The sequence below is a fragment of the Homo sapiens genome, chromosome 6 (genome assembly GCF_000001405.40).
Source record: "Homo sapiens chromosome 6, GRCh38.p14 Primary Assembly".
Lineage (NCBI taxonomy): Eukaryota > Metazoa > Chordata > Mammalia > Primates > Hominidae > Homo > Homo sapiens.
Window position 1 is genome coordinate 154,302,413 of NC_000006.12, and position 16,933 is coordinate 154,319,345.

Consider the following 16,933-nt stretch of genomic DNA (forward strand, 5'->3'; position numbering starts at 1 on the left):
GCCTCCCACTAGCTGTAGGACTTTGGATAAACTATTATTCTCTCCAAGTCCCAGCTTTTTCTTTTCTTCTCTTTAGTGGGGGAAGGGGGTTTTGCTGTGTCTCCCAGGATGGAGTGCAGTGGCATGAGCTCAGTTCACTGTAGCCTCAACATCCCAGACTCAACTGATCCTCTCACCTCAGCCCCCCGAGTAGCTGGGACTATAGACATGTGCCACCACGCCTGGCTAATGTTTATATTTTTTGTGGAGACAGGGCTTCACCATGTTGCCCAGGCTGGTCTCGAACTCCTGAGCTTGAGCGATCCCCCAGCCTCGGCCTCCCAAAGTGCTGGGATTATAGACATGGGCCACTGTGCCTGGCCCAAGTCTCAGATTTTTCATCTGAAAAGTGACTATAACTTAGGACCCAGGGTGCTTGTAAGGATTAAATGACATAATTTTCATGAATTTACCCAGTTGTCATCAGGCACTTAGTAGATGCTTAATAATTACTTATTTCTTATCCTTTCCCACCTTCCTTTATTTTGTGTATTGACTCTGCAACACCCAAATATATGGATCACCATCACTACTTATCATCTTTAGTGAGGCAATGTTGACCAGCAACCCAACAGCTTTAGTAAATCTTCCTAAGTTCCCATCAGATTTTGAACGCAACTATATTATAGCTATGATAGCACTTTTTTTTTTTTTTTTTTTGACAGAGTCTCGCTCTGTCACCCAGGCTGGAGTGCAATGGCACAATCTCAGCTCACTGCAACCTCTGCCTCCCAGATTCAAGCTATTCTCCTGCCTCAGCCTCCTGAGTAGCTGGGATTACAGGTGCATACCACCACGCCCGGGTAATCTTTGTATTTTTAGTAGAGACGGGGTTTCACCATGTTGGCCAGGCTGTTCTCAAACTCCTGACCTTGTGATCCGCCCACCTCGGCCTCCCAAAATGCTGGGATTACAGGCATGAGCCACTGCACCCGGCCTATGATAGCACTTTTCACTTTGTCATTTGATTACTGGTGTACATATCCATCAGCTCTCAGAACACGAGAGGGTTGTTTTCTGCAAAACCTCTCCAATTTTAACGACATAATACAGGACGGGGAGAGACAAGAATGGCTCATTCACCCTTCTCCTTTTTATCATTTGTTTTGAAGAGAACTAACACAAAAAGAGAATGATTCTCATACATTCTTCTGTAACAACTATTGCCCTACTCTTAAATGTACTCCTGGCTAGGCACAGTGGCTCATGCCTGTAATTCCAGCACTTTGAGAGACCAAGGCAGGAGGATTGCTTGAGTCCAGGAGTTCAAGACTAGCCTGGACAACAAAGTGAGACCTTCTCTCTGCAAAAAAATTAAAAAATTAACGAGGCATGTTGGTGCACCTGTGGCCCTAATTACATGCGAGGCTGAGTCAGGACAATTGCTTGAGCCCGGGAGGTCAAGGCTGCAGTGAGTCATGATTGTGCCACTGCACTCCAGCCTGAGCAAGAGAGCAAGACGTCTCAAATAAAAAAAATAAAATGCACTCCTTAACCAGGCAAGGGGGCATGCATCTGTGGTCCCAGCTACTCAGGAGGCTGAGGCAAGAGGCTCTGGGCCCAGGAGTTCAAGAGCAGCCTGGTGCAACATAAGAAGATCCCACTTTTGTAAAAAAATTAAGTTAGCCTGGTGTGGTGGGGCACACCGGTAGTCCCAGCTACTTGGAAGACTGAGTGGAAGGATCACTTGAGCCCAGAAGTTTGAGGCTGCAGTGAGCCATGATTGTGCCACTGCACTCCAGCCTGGGTGACAGAGCAAGACCCTGTCTCAAAAAAATTTTTTTAATTAAAAAATAATAATAAATAAAATATACTTTAAAAATACATCAATAAGCAGCTTCACCAGGATAGAACAAAAGTCTGCTCTTCCTTAAAGAGTATAGTATTCGTGCCAATTTTTTCAGACTTTATTCATGTTGAGAATACTTCCTGAAATCACTCTCTTTTTCAATTTTGTGTGATGCAATTTAATAGACAGATAAACTTAGCATGAATTATTACAGGAAGGGTTGGCATCTCATTCATCTGTGTTCCCAACTCATAGCCCATCACTTAGGACACTAGTAAACATTGAATAAATGAATAAAAGAAGACATCACCATTTATATATTCTGAATGAAGGTTTGCTTGTATGAGTTGATTCTGGATCTGATATGTAAGTATTTGGATCAAAAGCCAGAGATCCTGAAAAGCAAGAGGCCAATATGACCAAATCCATAGACAGTCAGTTACCTATTGAAGGCTCTCTGCTGACCTAATAACACCATGCTCAGTTCATACCTGGGAAATTTCCTGCCTGTATCTCCAGTTTGGAAAAAGAAAAAAAAATCATCATCTGCATTTCTAGACCAAGTCAACCTGATTTTTAAGCATAAGAAAAGGCCGGGCGCGGTGGCTCACGCCTGTAATCCCAGCACTTTGGGAGGCCGAGGTGGGCAGATCACCTGAGGTTGGGAGCTCAAGACCAGCCTGACCAACATGGAGAAACCTCATCTCTACTAAAAATACAAAAGTTAGCTGGGTGTAGTGGCGCATGCCTGTAATCCCAGCTACTCGGGAGGCTGAGGCAGGAGAATCGCTTGAGCCCAGGAGGCGGAGGTTGCAGTGAGCTGAGATTGTGCCACTGCACTTCAGCCTGGGCAACAAGAGCGAAACTCTGTCTCAAAAAAAAAAAAAGAAAAGAAAAGAAAGAAAGAAAATATGTGAGAAGACTGTGCCTCCTTGCTGTTACTCAGCCCCCTCCATCTCAGAGTTTACCCAGTCAGGTGTCTGTCTTGGGACAAAAAACCAGTAGGAGGTCAATAGGCTGGTGCATGTCATCTGCTTTTCAGTGATTTGAGCTCCCTTTCTCCTTCCCCTGCTGTTCCCACTCCATCAGTAATTCTACCATGCATTCTTCTCTGTGCATTTGTCCATTTCCACAGCAATCTTTCAGGCCCTCCTATGCTCATTCTTCTGCCTGTATCTCTGTCTTCTGCCTCCTGCTGTACCTGTCTATCCTACATACACAAGCATATACTACCAGAATAATCTTTCACAAAAATCACATCTCACTGGTTTAAAAACAAAAATCACTAATAGTTCTCCATCCTGGGCTTTCCTTTTCAACCACTGAAACTACCCCCAGTGTGATGGTTAATATTATGTGTCAACTGGATTGGATTGAAGGATGCAAAGTATTGTTCCTGGGTGTGACTGTCAGGGAGATCAACTTTGAGTCAGTGGACTGGGAGAGGCAGACCCACCTTCAATACGGGTGGGCACCATCCAATCAGCTGCCAGTGGAGCTGGAATAAAGCAGGCAGAAGAAGGTGGGAGAAATGGACTTGCTGAGGCTTCTGGCCTCCATCTTTCTCCCATGCTGGATGCTTCCAGCCCTCAAATATCAGACTCCAAGTTCTTCAGCTCTTGGACCTTTGGACTTACACCAGTGGTTTACCAAGGGCTCTTGGGCCTTTGGCCACTGTCTAAGGGCCGCATTGTCGGCTTCTCTACTTTTGAGGTTTTGGGACTTGGACTGACTTCCTTGCTCCTCAACTTGCAGAGGGCCTATTGTGGGACTTCACCTTGCGATCGTGTGAGTCAATTCTCCTTAAAAACCTCCCTTTCATATAGACATATATCTTATTAGCTCTTTCTTCTAGAGAACCCTAATACATCCAGCTTCCTTCTCCTGCCTGCCCACCCCGACATCTAACTCTGGAAGTCGCCCCACGTCACTTACATTAACCTCATCAGTGCTTGGCTTCTCATAATTTACTAACATTTGAGCAGATCTATCCAGAACCCCCTACCTTGTCTTCTCACTCAAGCTTGCTTCCTTTAATTCTTTAAAAATATAAACTTTCAGAGACAGAATGACCTCGAGTTAGAGTCTAACAGTGCAGCACAATCCTTTCATTTCTTTTTATTTTAGTTTGAATTGTTTGCTTTATTTTGTTTTAATTTATTTTTATTGATTTATTTTGTAGAGACAGGGTCTCTCTATGTTGCGAGGCTGGCCTCGAACTCCTGCGTTCAAGGTATCCTCCTGCCTCAGTCTCCCAAAGTGTTGGGATTACAGGCATGAGCCACTGTGCCCAGCCCATTAATAGTCAAGAAACTAAGACCCAGAGATGGCTCATGACACCCTGCTGTGAGAAAGTTCTCAGGGTCAATGCACCCTTACCCTATGGGCCCCCTAGGAAAGAGCACACACAGCCAGGGCAGAGGACAGGGAGGATGGATACTGTGCAGCGCCTACCAGCAGCCAGGCTCTGTCCCAGTGCCTTCGTAGGTTTCTTGTGGTTCTCATGAGCCCAGTTGATGACTCTGAAACTCAAAAAGTTAAGGAACTTGCTCAAAGTCAGACATCTAGCCAATGCCCAGACCCAGCTCTTGGACTGAATCTCATTTTTTTTGTATATCTCACTTCCCTTAACCTGCACCTGCTATAACATTCACATTTGTATTCATGCCCCTCTGTGCAGTTTGCTGTGTGTGAGTGGTTGTATCAGTTTGCCAGGCAGCCATCACAAAATACCGCAGACTGGGTGGCTTCCGCAACAGACATTCATCCGCTCACAGTTCTGAGGCCAGAGTCTGAGATCAAGGTGCCACAGGTTTGGTTTTAGGGCCCATACTAATGACCTCATTTTAACTTAATTACTTTTCTAAAGGCCCTGCCTATCTCCAAATACAATCTGATATGGTTTGGCTCTGTGTCCCCACCCAAATCTCATCTTGTAGCTCCCATAATTCCCATGTGTTGTGGGAGGGACCCGGTGGGACATGACTGAATCATGGGGTGGGGTCTTTCCTGTGCTGTTCTCATGATAGTGAATGGGTCTCATGAGATCTGATAGTTTTTAAAATGGGGGTTTCTCTGCACAAGCTCTCTCTTTGCCTGCCGCCATCCATGTAAGACGTGACTTGCTCCTCCTTGCCTTCCGCCATGGTTGTGAGGCTTCCCCAGCCACATGCAACTGTGAGTTCTCCATTAAACCACTTTCCTTTGTAAATTGACCAGTCTCGGGTATGTTTTTATCAGCAGTGTGAAAACGGACTAATACACAGTCACATTCTGATGTACTGGGGTTAGGACTTCAGCATATGAATAGGGGTAGGAGGTGTGGAGAGACACAGTTTAAGCCTATAACCGTGGTCCAGAACTGTCTTTTATTTCTGTTTTCCTTAATCCCATACCCGCCAAGTAGTCTCTTTCATCAAATTATAATAAAATCACACAAATACTAGACAATTTATTTAGATTTCGACTTTTTCACAGATCTGCATTTAATGTGAAAAGCATCTAGATGTACATTCACCATCTTTATTGCTAACTATACCCTACTCTTTGCTTCAAACACTCATCAAAAACAGAGTAAAAATGAATGTGTGCTCACAGCACTGAGTGCCTCCTCTGTGTACTGTTAGACGACTGAGCTGCCCTTTCCAACTTGGCATCCTCACATCCACCCACTGACAAATAGTCACAACCAGCAAGCAAACAGAACACTTCCCAGGAGGCTCTCACCACTGAAAAGAAGAAAGGTAAGGGGTGGCTTGAACGTTGCCCCTTTAAATAAAAACAGTTCTCCAGCAGTCTCAGCAATTTTTAGGGGGAGAGGGATGTAAACAGACAGTAGTAAATAGTGGAAAGAAACTAGAACAGGGTGAAAGGGGCCAAAAGATATGATTAATTTACTTATGTCCTTTCTGTGATCTAAGCTGGCGTGCAGTGGTGCAATCATGGCTGGCTGCAGCCTCAAGCTCCCAGGCTCAAGCGATCCTCAAACCCCAGCTTTCCAAGTAGCTGGGACTATTGGTGCGTGCCACCATGCCCTGCTAATTTTTGTATTTTTTTGTAGAGATGTTTTGTTTTTTTTCGCAGTGTTGACCAGGTTAGTCTCCAACTCCTGAGCTCAGGTGATCTACCTGTCTCAGCCTCCCAAACAAACTACTGGGATTACAGGCTTGAGCCACCACACCTGGCCCTTTCTGAAATATTTTAATGAGGGCTCCACATTTAAAATTATACCATCCAATTTATCTTTTTACAAAACTTATCCAGAAGCCAACCTTCTTTCCCAAGGCAATAGAGGTTTAACAGAGAACAAAGTATTCTTTATATTAATTTCAGACATCCTGAGAATAAACATCGTTCTTTCAGCAAAGCCTATCTTTGCTGTTTAATTGAAATCAATGGTATTGACTAATAAAACTAGCCATTACTTTGTGTGGCTTTTAGGGGAGTTTAACCTGAAACTGGGGATAAAACTAATTAATTTGTGTTGAAGGACTGTAAAAGAATCACGAATACACAACCACTATTACAGCACAAAAGGAGTTAACATGCATTTGTAATTTCTAGATTCTTCATAAAATGATAATACTTTAGAATGTTCTCTTTGTTGTCAATTTTACAGGATAATACTATTTTTCAATTTAAATTAGATGCGATAAGGTGTGACATCTGCAACTCAGGAACACAAGGACCGTCTGCTAAAAATGGTTTGCAGTTCTCATTTTAAAAGTGTAAACATCTACATTTGGTTTTTTTGTTTTTTTAAAAAGGAACTTCTTGCAAATATGTTAAGTCATCTTAGATGAGGACAGTTTTGTAAAGAGACATGGAGAAGGTCAATATTTGCTAAAATAAGTTGTCTCTTTTAAATAAGGTGATTTCTAAAAAAGAAGGGAAACTCACTTTTACTAAGTATCATATACTCACTCTCTCCAGCTGTCACAGATAACTTTCCCTGAGCTGTCTGAGTCAAACTACCCATTACATGGTCTCAGAACGCCAATAACCGCTCATTCACAGCCTTTATCAATATCACAAATTTGGATATATTTGTATGATTAAGATGAGTATCTGTCCCCCCACTCTATGGTGGCAGGGCTCACCATCTAATGCCAGCACACTACCTGAAGCACAACAGGAGCTCACAACATGTGTTTAATGACACCCAACCGATGGAAGAAACCAGCAGTTATTCTACCTTCACATCCCCAATACATCCTGCTGTCTCTTATTCAGCCATCTCACCGTTCTTCACAGAGCTGTTAGATACCATCCTTATATACCTGTTACCCTTCTCTTCCTATTGAAGACCAATCCCTTCATTATGCTGGGGAGGTGCCGCCCTCCTTGTTCTTGGAGAAGGCATATTTACTGTCTCTTCTCTGTCCTGTATTTTTTTTCATCTGCCCTGTATCTTTAGACAATTCCTCTCTACTTTCCTCTTTGATCCACAATCTTTGTGAAATTCTACCCACCTTAAAATAAAATTCTTTCCGCTAAAGCTATTTAGTCACTCTGCTTTTCTTTTCTTGTTTTTTTTTTTTTTAGATGGAGTCTTGCTCTGTCACCCAGGCTGGGGTGCAATGGTGAGATCTTGGCTCACTGCAACCTCCGCCTCCCCGGTTCAAGCAAATCTCCTGGGTCAGCCTCCCAAGTAGCTGGGATTACAGGCGCATGCCACCACGCCTGGCTAATTTTTGTATTTTTAGTAGAGACAGGGTTTCACCATGTTGGCCAGGCTGGTCTTGAACTCCTGACCTCAAGTGATCCACCCACCTCGGCCTCCCAAACTGCTAGGATCACAGGCGTGAGCCACCACACCCGGCCGTCGCTGTGCATTTTTAAACTTTCCCTTTAGTCAACCTTTGTAAAAGAAGTCTGTTCCTACTGCTCCAATTCTTACCACACAGTCAGCTCTCCAAGACCTAATAATACAAGTGGAGCTCAACCTCAGCTGAATCAAGATGCCCACATCAAAACTGCCAGGCATTTCTCAAAAGAGGACATATGATTGGCAAATAGATGCATGAAAAAATGCTGAACATCACTAACCATCAGGGAAATGCAAATTAAAACCACAATGATATCACCTCATACCTGTTAGAATGGCTATTTTCTTTCTTTCTATTTTTTTGAAAACTAGAGGAAGGGGAGGAGGTCTAGGATGTTGGCAAGGATGCAGACCCTTGCACACTGTTGGTGGGAATGTAAATTAGTACAGCCATTTTGGAAAATAGTATGGAGGTTCCACAAAAACTAAAAATAAAATTACCATATGATCTAGCAATCCGTATTCTGGGTGTATATCCAAAGAAATTGAAATTAGTATGTCAAAGAGATATCTGTACTCCCATGTTTATTTCAGCATTATTCACAATAGTTAAGATACAGAATCAAAATGTGGTATGTATATACACATGGAATACTATACAGACCTAAAAAAGAAGGAGAGTCTGTAATTTGCAACATGGATGGAATTGAAGGACATTATGCTACATGAAAGAAGCCAGGCATATAAATACAAATACTATATGATCTCACTTATATGTGGAATCTAAAAACTTAATCTCATAGAAAAAGAGAGTAGAAAGGGGATTACTAGGGGCTGGGGATGGTTGGGGAAGGGTTGGGGAAAGGGAAGATGGTGATCAAAGGGCACAGAGTTTTAGTTAGACTGGAGGAGTAAGTGTTGGTGTTGTATTGCACTGCATGGTGAACACAGTTAATAATAATGTATTGTATATTGCAGAATTGTTAAAAGAATTTATTTTTAAAGTCCTCACTCCAAACAAATGATGTTGGAAGGGAATAAATATGCTAATTATCTTGATTGAATCTTTCTACAATGTATACATAAATCAAAACAACACATTGTAACCCATAAATATGCACAATTATTATTTGTCAATTAAAAATAAATTAATAAAAAATAAGAAAGAAAAACTGCCAGGCATTTTGTTCTTGCTGAGTTCAAGGAGTGCTTTTCAATCTCTCTCTTACTAACCTCCCTGCAGCACAGGATCCCATCCTAATACTCTTTTTCTCTTGGCTTTCAGTACTCCACTTTCTGCCAGTCTTCTTTCATCTCTTCTCAAGCTCATTGCAACCCCTTGCCTCTTTTAATCCCTTAAATATCAGTGTTCCTTAGGATCTTATTCATGTTCTTTTTACTTTCTCTTACTACCTTTTGTTGAATTATCACCAATGCTAATGGCAACCAAATTCATATTTCAAGCTAGACCTCTTGAGCTCCAGAGCTATACTTCCAGTTGACCACTGGCCATGCCCCTCTCCATGAACCACAATTTCCTAAATATGTTTTTTAAAAAAGTGCTCATTATGTTTCCTCAAACACTTATTTTTAAATAACCCAATTTTTTAAATGGGCAAAGAATCAGAATAGATAGTTCCCAAAAGAAGACATACAAATGGCCAACAAGTGTATGAAAAAAATTTTCAATATCACTAATCATTACAAAAATACAAATTAAAACTGTAGTGAGAGATCGCCTCACCCCTGTTAGAATGGCTATTTTCAAAAAAAGATGAAAGATAACAAGTGTTGGTGAAGATGCGTAGAAAAGGGAACTCTTGTGTGTAGTCAGTCAATGGGAAGGAAAATTAGTACAGCCAATATGGAAAACAGTATGGAAGTTTCTCAAAAAATTAAAAATACAACTACGATATGGGCCAGCAATCTCTTTATCTTTTGGATAAATCCTGGATATTTACCCAAAAGAAATGAAATCAGTATATTAAAGAGATGTCTATACCCCCACATTCATAGCAGCACTATTCACAATAGCCAAGATATGCAATCAATCTTTGTCCATCGACAGATGAACAGATAAAGAAAATGTGATCTATATGCACAATAGAATACACTTAAAAACACTTTTAAAAAGAAGGCAATCCTGTTATTTGCAATAACACAGATGAACCTGGAGGACATTTTGTTACATGAAATAAGCCAGTCACAAAAAGATAAGTACTGTATGATCTCATTTATATGTGGAACCTAAGAAAGTCAAACCTAGAGAAACAGGGAGTATAATGGTGGTTGTCAGGGGCTGGTGTAGAGGGAAGGATTGGAGAGAAGTTGGTCAAAGAATCAAAACTTTTTTTTTTGAGACAAAGTCTTGCTCTGTCGCCAGGGCTGGAGTGCAGTGTCACGATCTCGGCTCACTGTAACCTCCACCTCCTGGGTTCAAGTGATTCTTCTACCTCAGCCTCCTGAGTAACTGGGACTACAGGCACGCACCACCACACCCGGCTAATTTTTTGTGTTTTTAGTAGAGACGGGGTTTCACCATGTTGGCCAGGCTGGTCTCGAACTCCTGACCTCATGATCCGCCCGCCTCAGCCTCCCAAAGTGCTGGGATTACAGGTGTGAGCCACCGCACCTGGCCAGAATCAAAACTTTTATTTGGACAGGAGGAATAAGTTCAAGAGAGCTCTTGTACAACATGGTGACCACAGTTAATAACAGTGAATTGTATACTTGAAAATTTCCAAGAGAGATTTTGAGTATTCTCATGATCAAAAAAACTATGTGAGGTAACACATATGTTAATGAGCTTGATTTCGCTATGCAACAATGTACACATATTTCAAAACACCATATTGTAAACCATAAATATGTACAATTTTATTTGTCAATTTAAGATGAATAAATAAAAAATTTTTTAGAACTTTTTCTTGGGCAGGGCACAGTGGCTCACACCTAACACTTTCGGAGGGTAAGGTGGGAAGATCACTTGAGCCCAGGAAGGGAAGGTTGCAGTGAGCCGAAATCAACCCCACTGCACTGCAGGCTGTGAGGCCCTGTCTCAAAAAAAAAAAAAAAAAAACATGGCCGGGCACAGTGGCTCACGCCTGTAATCCCAGCATTTTGGGAGACTGTGGAGGGCAGATCACCCGAGGTCAGGAGTTTGAGACAAGCCTGGCCAACATGGTAAAACCCCATCTCTTCTAAAAATACAAAAATTAGCCAAGCGTAGTAGTGGTGGGTGCCTGTAATCTTAGCTACTCAGGAGGCTGAGGCAGAAGAATCACTTGAACCTAGGAGGTGGAGGTTGCAGTGAGCTGAGATCGCGCCACTCCACTCCATCTTGAGCAAGAGAGCAAGATTCTGTCTCAAAAAAAAAAAGAAAAAGAAAAAAAATTAATGTCACACAGATTTCTTAGAGAGTTTAAACAATAGATAGGTTGTATTTCAATTTAACAGTAAAACAAAATGTTTTAAGAGACTACAAAAGTCTATCCTACTGGATATTGGAAACCTTTTTCTTTACTACTTTTCTATACTAATGACTTTATTAAAGAAAGATGTTTTGGTTAAGCCTAATCTCTTCAACTCAATCACTGTTCTAGTTATTAAGGCTTTACTGTACGGTTATATAGGCAAGTAAATTCCAAAATGGTGTAGAATTGTATGTATGCTTTAATATAAAAGAGATGTAAAACACCAAGAAGCCAGAAATTCATCTTCTGGTTCTTTTTTTTGTTTTGTTTTTTGTTTTTTTGAGACAGGGTCTCGCTCTGTCACCCAGGCTGGAGTGCAGTGGCATGATCTCAGCTCACTGCAGCCTCAAACTACAGGACTCAGGCAATCCTCCCTTCTCAGCCTCCCAAGTAGCTGAGACTACAGGTGTGTGCCACCACACCTGGCTAATTTTTTTTTTAATTTCTTGTACAAATGGGATCCCACTGTGTTGGCCAGGCTGGTCTCAAACTCCTGGCCTCAAGCAATCTTCCCATCTTGGCCCCCCAAAATGCTGGGATTACAGGTGTGAGCCACCATGCCCAGACATCTTCTGGTTCTGTTTTTGCCTCTGCCATTTACCTTGGTGCTTTCTCTGGCATCAAAAAGGGAGTTAACACAGGTCTTGGCTAATAATCATACCACTTACATTTTTGTACATTTATAATTATAGAGTGCTTTTAATCTCATTTCATTTTGATCACAAAAAACAAGTCTTTGGAGGATTATCAGCTCATCTTAGATAAGAAACTGAGAACAGATTCGGGGGAAATGCCCAATATAAATGCCAATAGAAGAATCAAATTGGCCACTATGGCTCTGTGCCCAGTAACTCTTGCAAAAGAAGGCCAAGCATATTGGAAAGATTAATGACATAATCATTTGTATAGAAATTTGAGCCCATAATTAAAAATAGAAAAAAATGCAAACATACCTATGTTTATATTACCAACAAAGATACTAAGAAAAAACTAGTGAAAATCAGGTCTATCTACCTAGGAAACTTTTGTTTTCTTCTTACTTTTTAAAACTTGCCCTTCCTCTTGTGTTTCTCTTTCTACCTTAGTATCCTAAGAATTCCTTTGCCTCATCTAACATGAAAAGAAAACTCAGAACAGTATTAATTACTGTTTCTAATTGAATTCTCGTATCTATTGATCATCTCCCCAATTGATCTCAAGTTTTCACATGAAAAACCGAACACTCTAAATAGCTCTTAGTTTTGTAAAAGACAAAATTGAGATAAGATAAAAACCACAAAAGAACAAGTTTTTGAAAATGTTTTTTATCCCTAAAAATCTCAGGGATAAGCACTCATAGAAAGAGGTTCCTTTCCCTTCAGGGCCCCATCTACTTTGTAAAGATGGCTTCACTAGTGTGATTACTTTTTTTTTTTTTTTTTTGAGACAGTGTCTCTGTCACCCAGGCTGGAATGCAGTGACACAATCTCAGCTCACTGCAACCTCCGCCTCCCAGGTTCAAGCGATTCTCCTGCCTTAGCCTCCCGAGTAGCTGAGATTACAGGCATGTGCTACCACGACCAGCTAACTTTTTTGTATTTTTAGTAGAGACAGGATTTCACCATGTTGGCCAGGCTAATCTCGAACTCCTGACCTCAAATGATCTGCCCGCCTTGGCTTCCCAAAGTGCTGGGATTATAGGCGTGAGCCACCATGCCTAGCCCACTAGTGTGATTACTTGATTAACATCTGTCTCTCCATTAGACTAAAAGTCCTGGGAGAACATGGACAGTGAATATTTTTGCTCACTCATGTACCTAAGCACTTAATCATCTTGGTGCTCAGTAAATATTTGTAGGGCCAGAGCATTTCTATGAACATGACATTTCTACAGGGAAAAACAGGGTCCGTGAAGGCAAAGAGTGGGAGCCCTTAGAAACTGAACAGCTTTCTCTAATAACAGCTGTTTCATTGACATAAATAAGCTGAGTTACAAGTAGCCCAGATCCCCAGTATGGAGTTCAGTGTCAAGATCCTTATTTTGAACATAGTTATAAGGCATAAGGCAAGAACCAGAGTCAGAGGCTCTAAGTCAATTTCCTTTGTGGTAACGATCACAGATGGGAATGGGCCAGTATCCACCATTAATGACAACTAAGTCCCGGATTTTATCTTAGTCCTGTGGATCTATACCAAGCTTGGGAGCTGATAGTCACACTAGCATCCCTGTATTTGGCCCTGAGATACCAATCCCCCATCTGTCTTCAAATAGGGAAAACAGAGTCAAATTTGAAGTTTTAAATATTGATGGGAAATTGATGAAAATCTAAGTACAGAAATCTAGAATCAAAATTAAAATGTGCAATTTTTTTTGGGGGGGAGCGGTGGTGGACAGTCTCACTCTGTCACCCAGGCTGGAGTGCAGTGGCCCAATCTCAGCTCACTGCAATCTCAGCTCACTGCAATCTCAGCTCACTGCAATCTCCGCCTCCCAGGTTCAAGTTATTCTTGTGCCTCAGCCTCCCAAGTAGCTGCGAGTACAGGCATGAACCACCAGGCCTGGCTAATTTTGGTATTTTCAGTAGAGACAGTTTCACCATGTTGGCCAGGCTAGTCTTGAACTCCTGGCCTCAAGCAATCTGCCTGCCTCAGCCTCCCAAAGTGGTGGAATTATAGGCAAGAGCCACTGCTCCCAGCCAACATGTGCAAATTCTTAACCCTCACTTTAGGTAACACTGTAAAATTGGGTTGCCATTATTGGCCCTCTCCTTCACTCATAGGGAAGCACATTTTTTTAGATGTATGCTATTGTACACTTAATAAACTACAGCACAGCATCACTTTTATATGCACTGGGAAACCAAAAAAATTAAGGTGACTCACTTTATTGTGATACTTACTTTATTGCTGTGGTCCGGAACCAAACCTGCAATATCTCTGAGTTATGCCTAGATACACAAGGTATACTATTCTGTATTTAAAAAAAGAAGGAAATTCTGTCATTTGCAACAACATGAATAAACCTGGAGAACATTATGTTACATGAAATAAGCCAGACACAGAAAAACCAATACTGCATACTCTCACTTACATGTGGATTCTAAAGAGATTGAAGTCATAGATGCAAAGAATAGGATGGTGGTTAGTTACCAAGGGTTAGGGGAAGAGGAGATGTTGGTCAAACTATATAAAAGTTCAATGAAACAGGAGAAATAAACTCAAGAGAGCTATTGTACAGCATGGTAAGTACAGTTAATAACGATGTATTGTATTCCTGAAAATCACTAAAAGTGTAAATTTTAAGTGTTCTCACAACAAAAAATGAGTATGTAAGATTAGACATGTTATTTAGTTCAATTTAGCCATTCCACAATATATACGTATTTTAAAACAACATGTACCTAGTAAGTAGATACAATTTTCTCAATTAAAATTAATTAGTTAATTGGAATAATAATAATACTGCTGGAAAAACTGGATAGCCATATGAAAAAAAATTAACTTCAATTCCTACCTCATAGACCTAAACTTGACAGCTGAAACTATAAAGCTTCCAGAAGAAAATATAAAGTAATATTTTTGTGATCTTGGGGTAGGCAAAGATTTCTTACTCAGGATACGGAAAGCAATAAACATAAAAGAAAAAAATTCTAATCACAAGTGATGTTAATAGAATAAGCAAGCCACAAGCTGGGAGAAAATATTCATCAAACATGTGTTTGTCAAAGAATCTGTACCTAGAATACATAAAGAATTCCTCCAACTCGATAATAAAATGACAAGTAGACCAATTAAAAATGAGCAAATGGGCCAGGCACAATGGCTCACGCTTGTAATCCCAGCACTTTGGGAGGCCGAGGTGGGTGGATCACGAGGTCAGGAGTTCGAGACCAGCCTGGCCAACACAGTGAAACCCCGTCTCTACTAAAAATACAAAAAATTAGCTGGGCATGGTGGCAGGCTCCTGTAATCCCAGCTACTCAGGAGGCTAAGGCAGAAGAATCATTTGAACCTGGGAGGCAGAGGTTGCAGTGAGCCAAGATTGCACCACTGCACTCCAACCTGGGCGACAGTGAGAGACTCCATCTCAAAAAAAAAAAAAAAAAAAAAAAAAAAGCAAATGACTCAGACACTTAACAAAAAAATGTAAAAATGGCCAAAAAATACATAAAACAGTGCTCAACATAGTGAATCATTAGGAAAATGCCATAAAACCACAATGAGATACCACTACACACCCACTATAATGGGAAAAGTCAGAAAGATGTTGGTCTCATACAAAGATGAGAATGTAAAAAGCTACAACCGGTTTTTTTTTAAATGTTTGGTGCTTTCTTATAAACATAATATGTTCTGTGACCACCAGGTCTGCCCTTTAGTATTTACTGAAGAGAAAGAAAAACATGTATCCACGCAAAGATTTGTCTATGAATATTCATAGCTAGTTTGCTTATAATTCAGGTTGGAAACAACCCAACTGTCCATCAATAGGAACAGATAAACAAATTGTAATATGTTCATAAGACAGAATATATAGTAATAAACAGAAACAAAATACTACTGATAATTTACCCAAGAGCATAGATTAATCTCACACACATTATGCTGAACAAAAGAAGTCAGATATGTAAAAGTACAAGCCACATGACAACTTTGCTATGAAGTTCTGGAACAGGCAAGACTAACCTTTGGAGAAAGAAATCTGAACAGTGGTTGCCCTGGTGAGAGTAGAGGGTGGGGGGATTGACCTTAATGGAGCAAGACGGGAAAAATTCTGGTTTTTGGTAATAGTTTGAGTTCCATGAACATACACATTTGTCAAAACTCATGGAGCTGCAGCACTAATGACCTGTGCCTTTCACTACATGAAGACCAAGACCCAATAAAATAATTTAGGTCACAGAAGGTAATTTGAGAATATTATTTCCAGGGAATTAAAATTTAACTTGAAAACAAATGAAGGAATAATGTAGGGTAGGATTCATTCCACTCTTGCCCTTCAGAAGGATAAGCCCCAGATTGGGACCGAGATGGAAGGCACAAATCTGCTTTCATTTCCACCTTACTAGAATCACGATGTGCTTCTGGTTTTAACAATATGTATTTTCTTGGCCGGGTGTGGTGGCTCACGCCTCTAGTCTCAGCACTTTGGGAGGCCAAGGTGGGTAGATTGCTTGAGCCCAGGAGAGGCTGCAGTGAGCCGAGATCACACCACTGCGCTCCAGCCTGGCTGACAGAGTGAGACCCTGTCTCAAAAAAAAAAAAAAAAAAAAGAAGAAGAAGAAAACAATACATATTTTCTATACAACATGCACCCAATGTCAATAATTATTTTTTCCCTCATTCCATCCATACACAAAAGCTAATTTCATCATCTGGAACCTTCAGAAGATATGATCTGTTTCAGCACTGGCCACGTTAGCCAACCTATGTGTGTCTGTCTCAAACATGATGTCAACAAGGGGAACTTTCAAGGATAAATGTGAATGTTTGTAATTTTTGCTTTATGTGCTGACTTTAGAACCTAATTGAAGATAAGCTATGATTCCATAGTAATTTTTTCTATGCAGCAGGGTGATAACTAATATCTTAGATTTAAATGTATAACTAAATTCTTGTCATATTATTCTTAGTACTCTGGTTATAATTGAACATACCAATTGTGCGTGAATGAAGTATATTAAAATTCATTCTGCTCTTTTCCCTTCCCTCCCCTTACCCAAAAACATGAACTGTTTATAAAATTTTCAGAGTCTTTTCATTTGGTTTTACTTATCTGGACTCATAAGCCATGCATGGTAAATTTCAGACCTATAATTTGTGGCTTCCTGCTTCCAAGATCACTCCAGAATAGTTCTCATGTGACTGTTTTTCTAGTTAAATATT

The 16,933-nt window shown here is 40.7% G+C and overlaps 1 protein-coding gene across 7 annotated transcripts in view, besides 1 other annotated feature; it reads right to left on the reverse strand.

Annotated features, from left to right (window-relative positions):
- IPCEF1 (interaction protein for cytohesin exchange factors 1) overlaps positions 1-16,933 on the reverse strand; it is a 202,308-nt gene that overhangs the window by 147,917 nt on the left and 37,458 nt on the right. For 2 of the 7 annotated variants that reach the window (NM_001394801.1, NM_001130699.2), the window contains exon 2: positions 4,283-4,356. The exons of 4 other annotated variants lie outside the window; for them this stretch is intronic. The gene's annotated coding sequence lies outside the window, so the exon portion shown is untranslated. The remainder of the gene's footprint in view (positions 1-4,282; positions 4,357-16,933) is intronic. One more of the 7 variants, NM_001394799.1, reaches the window with a different exon arrangement.
- Positions 182-231: an enhancer, noted in NCBI's record as "active region_25296". NCBI's record gives its function as "activates an Ori minimal core promoter by ATAC-STARR-seq in GM12878 lymphoblastoid cells {active_cell/tissue: GM12878}" and the evidence as "EXISTENCE:reporter gene assay evidence [ECO:0000049][PMID:35858748]".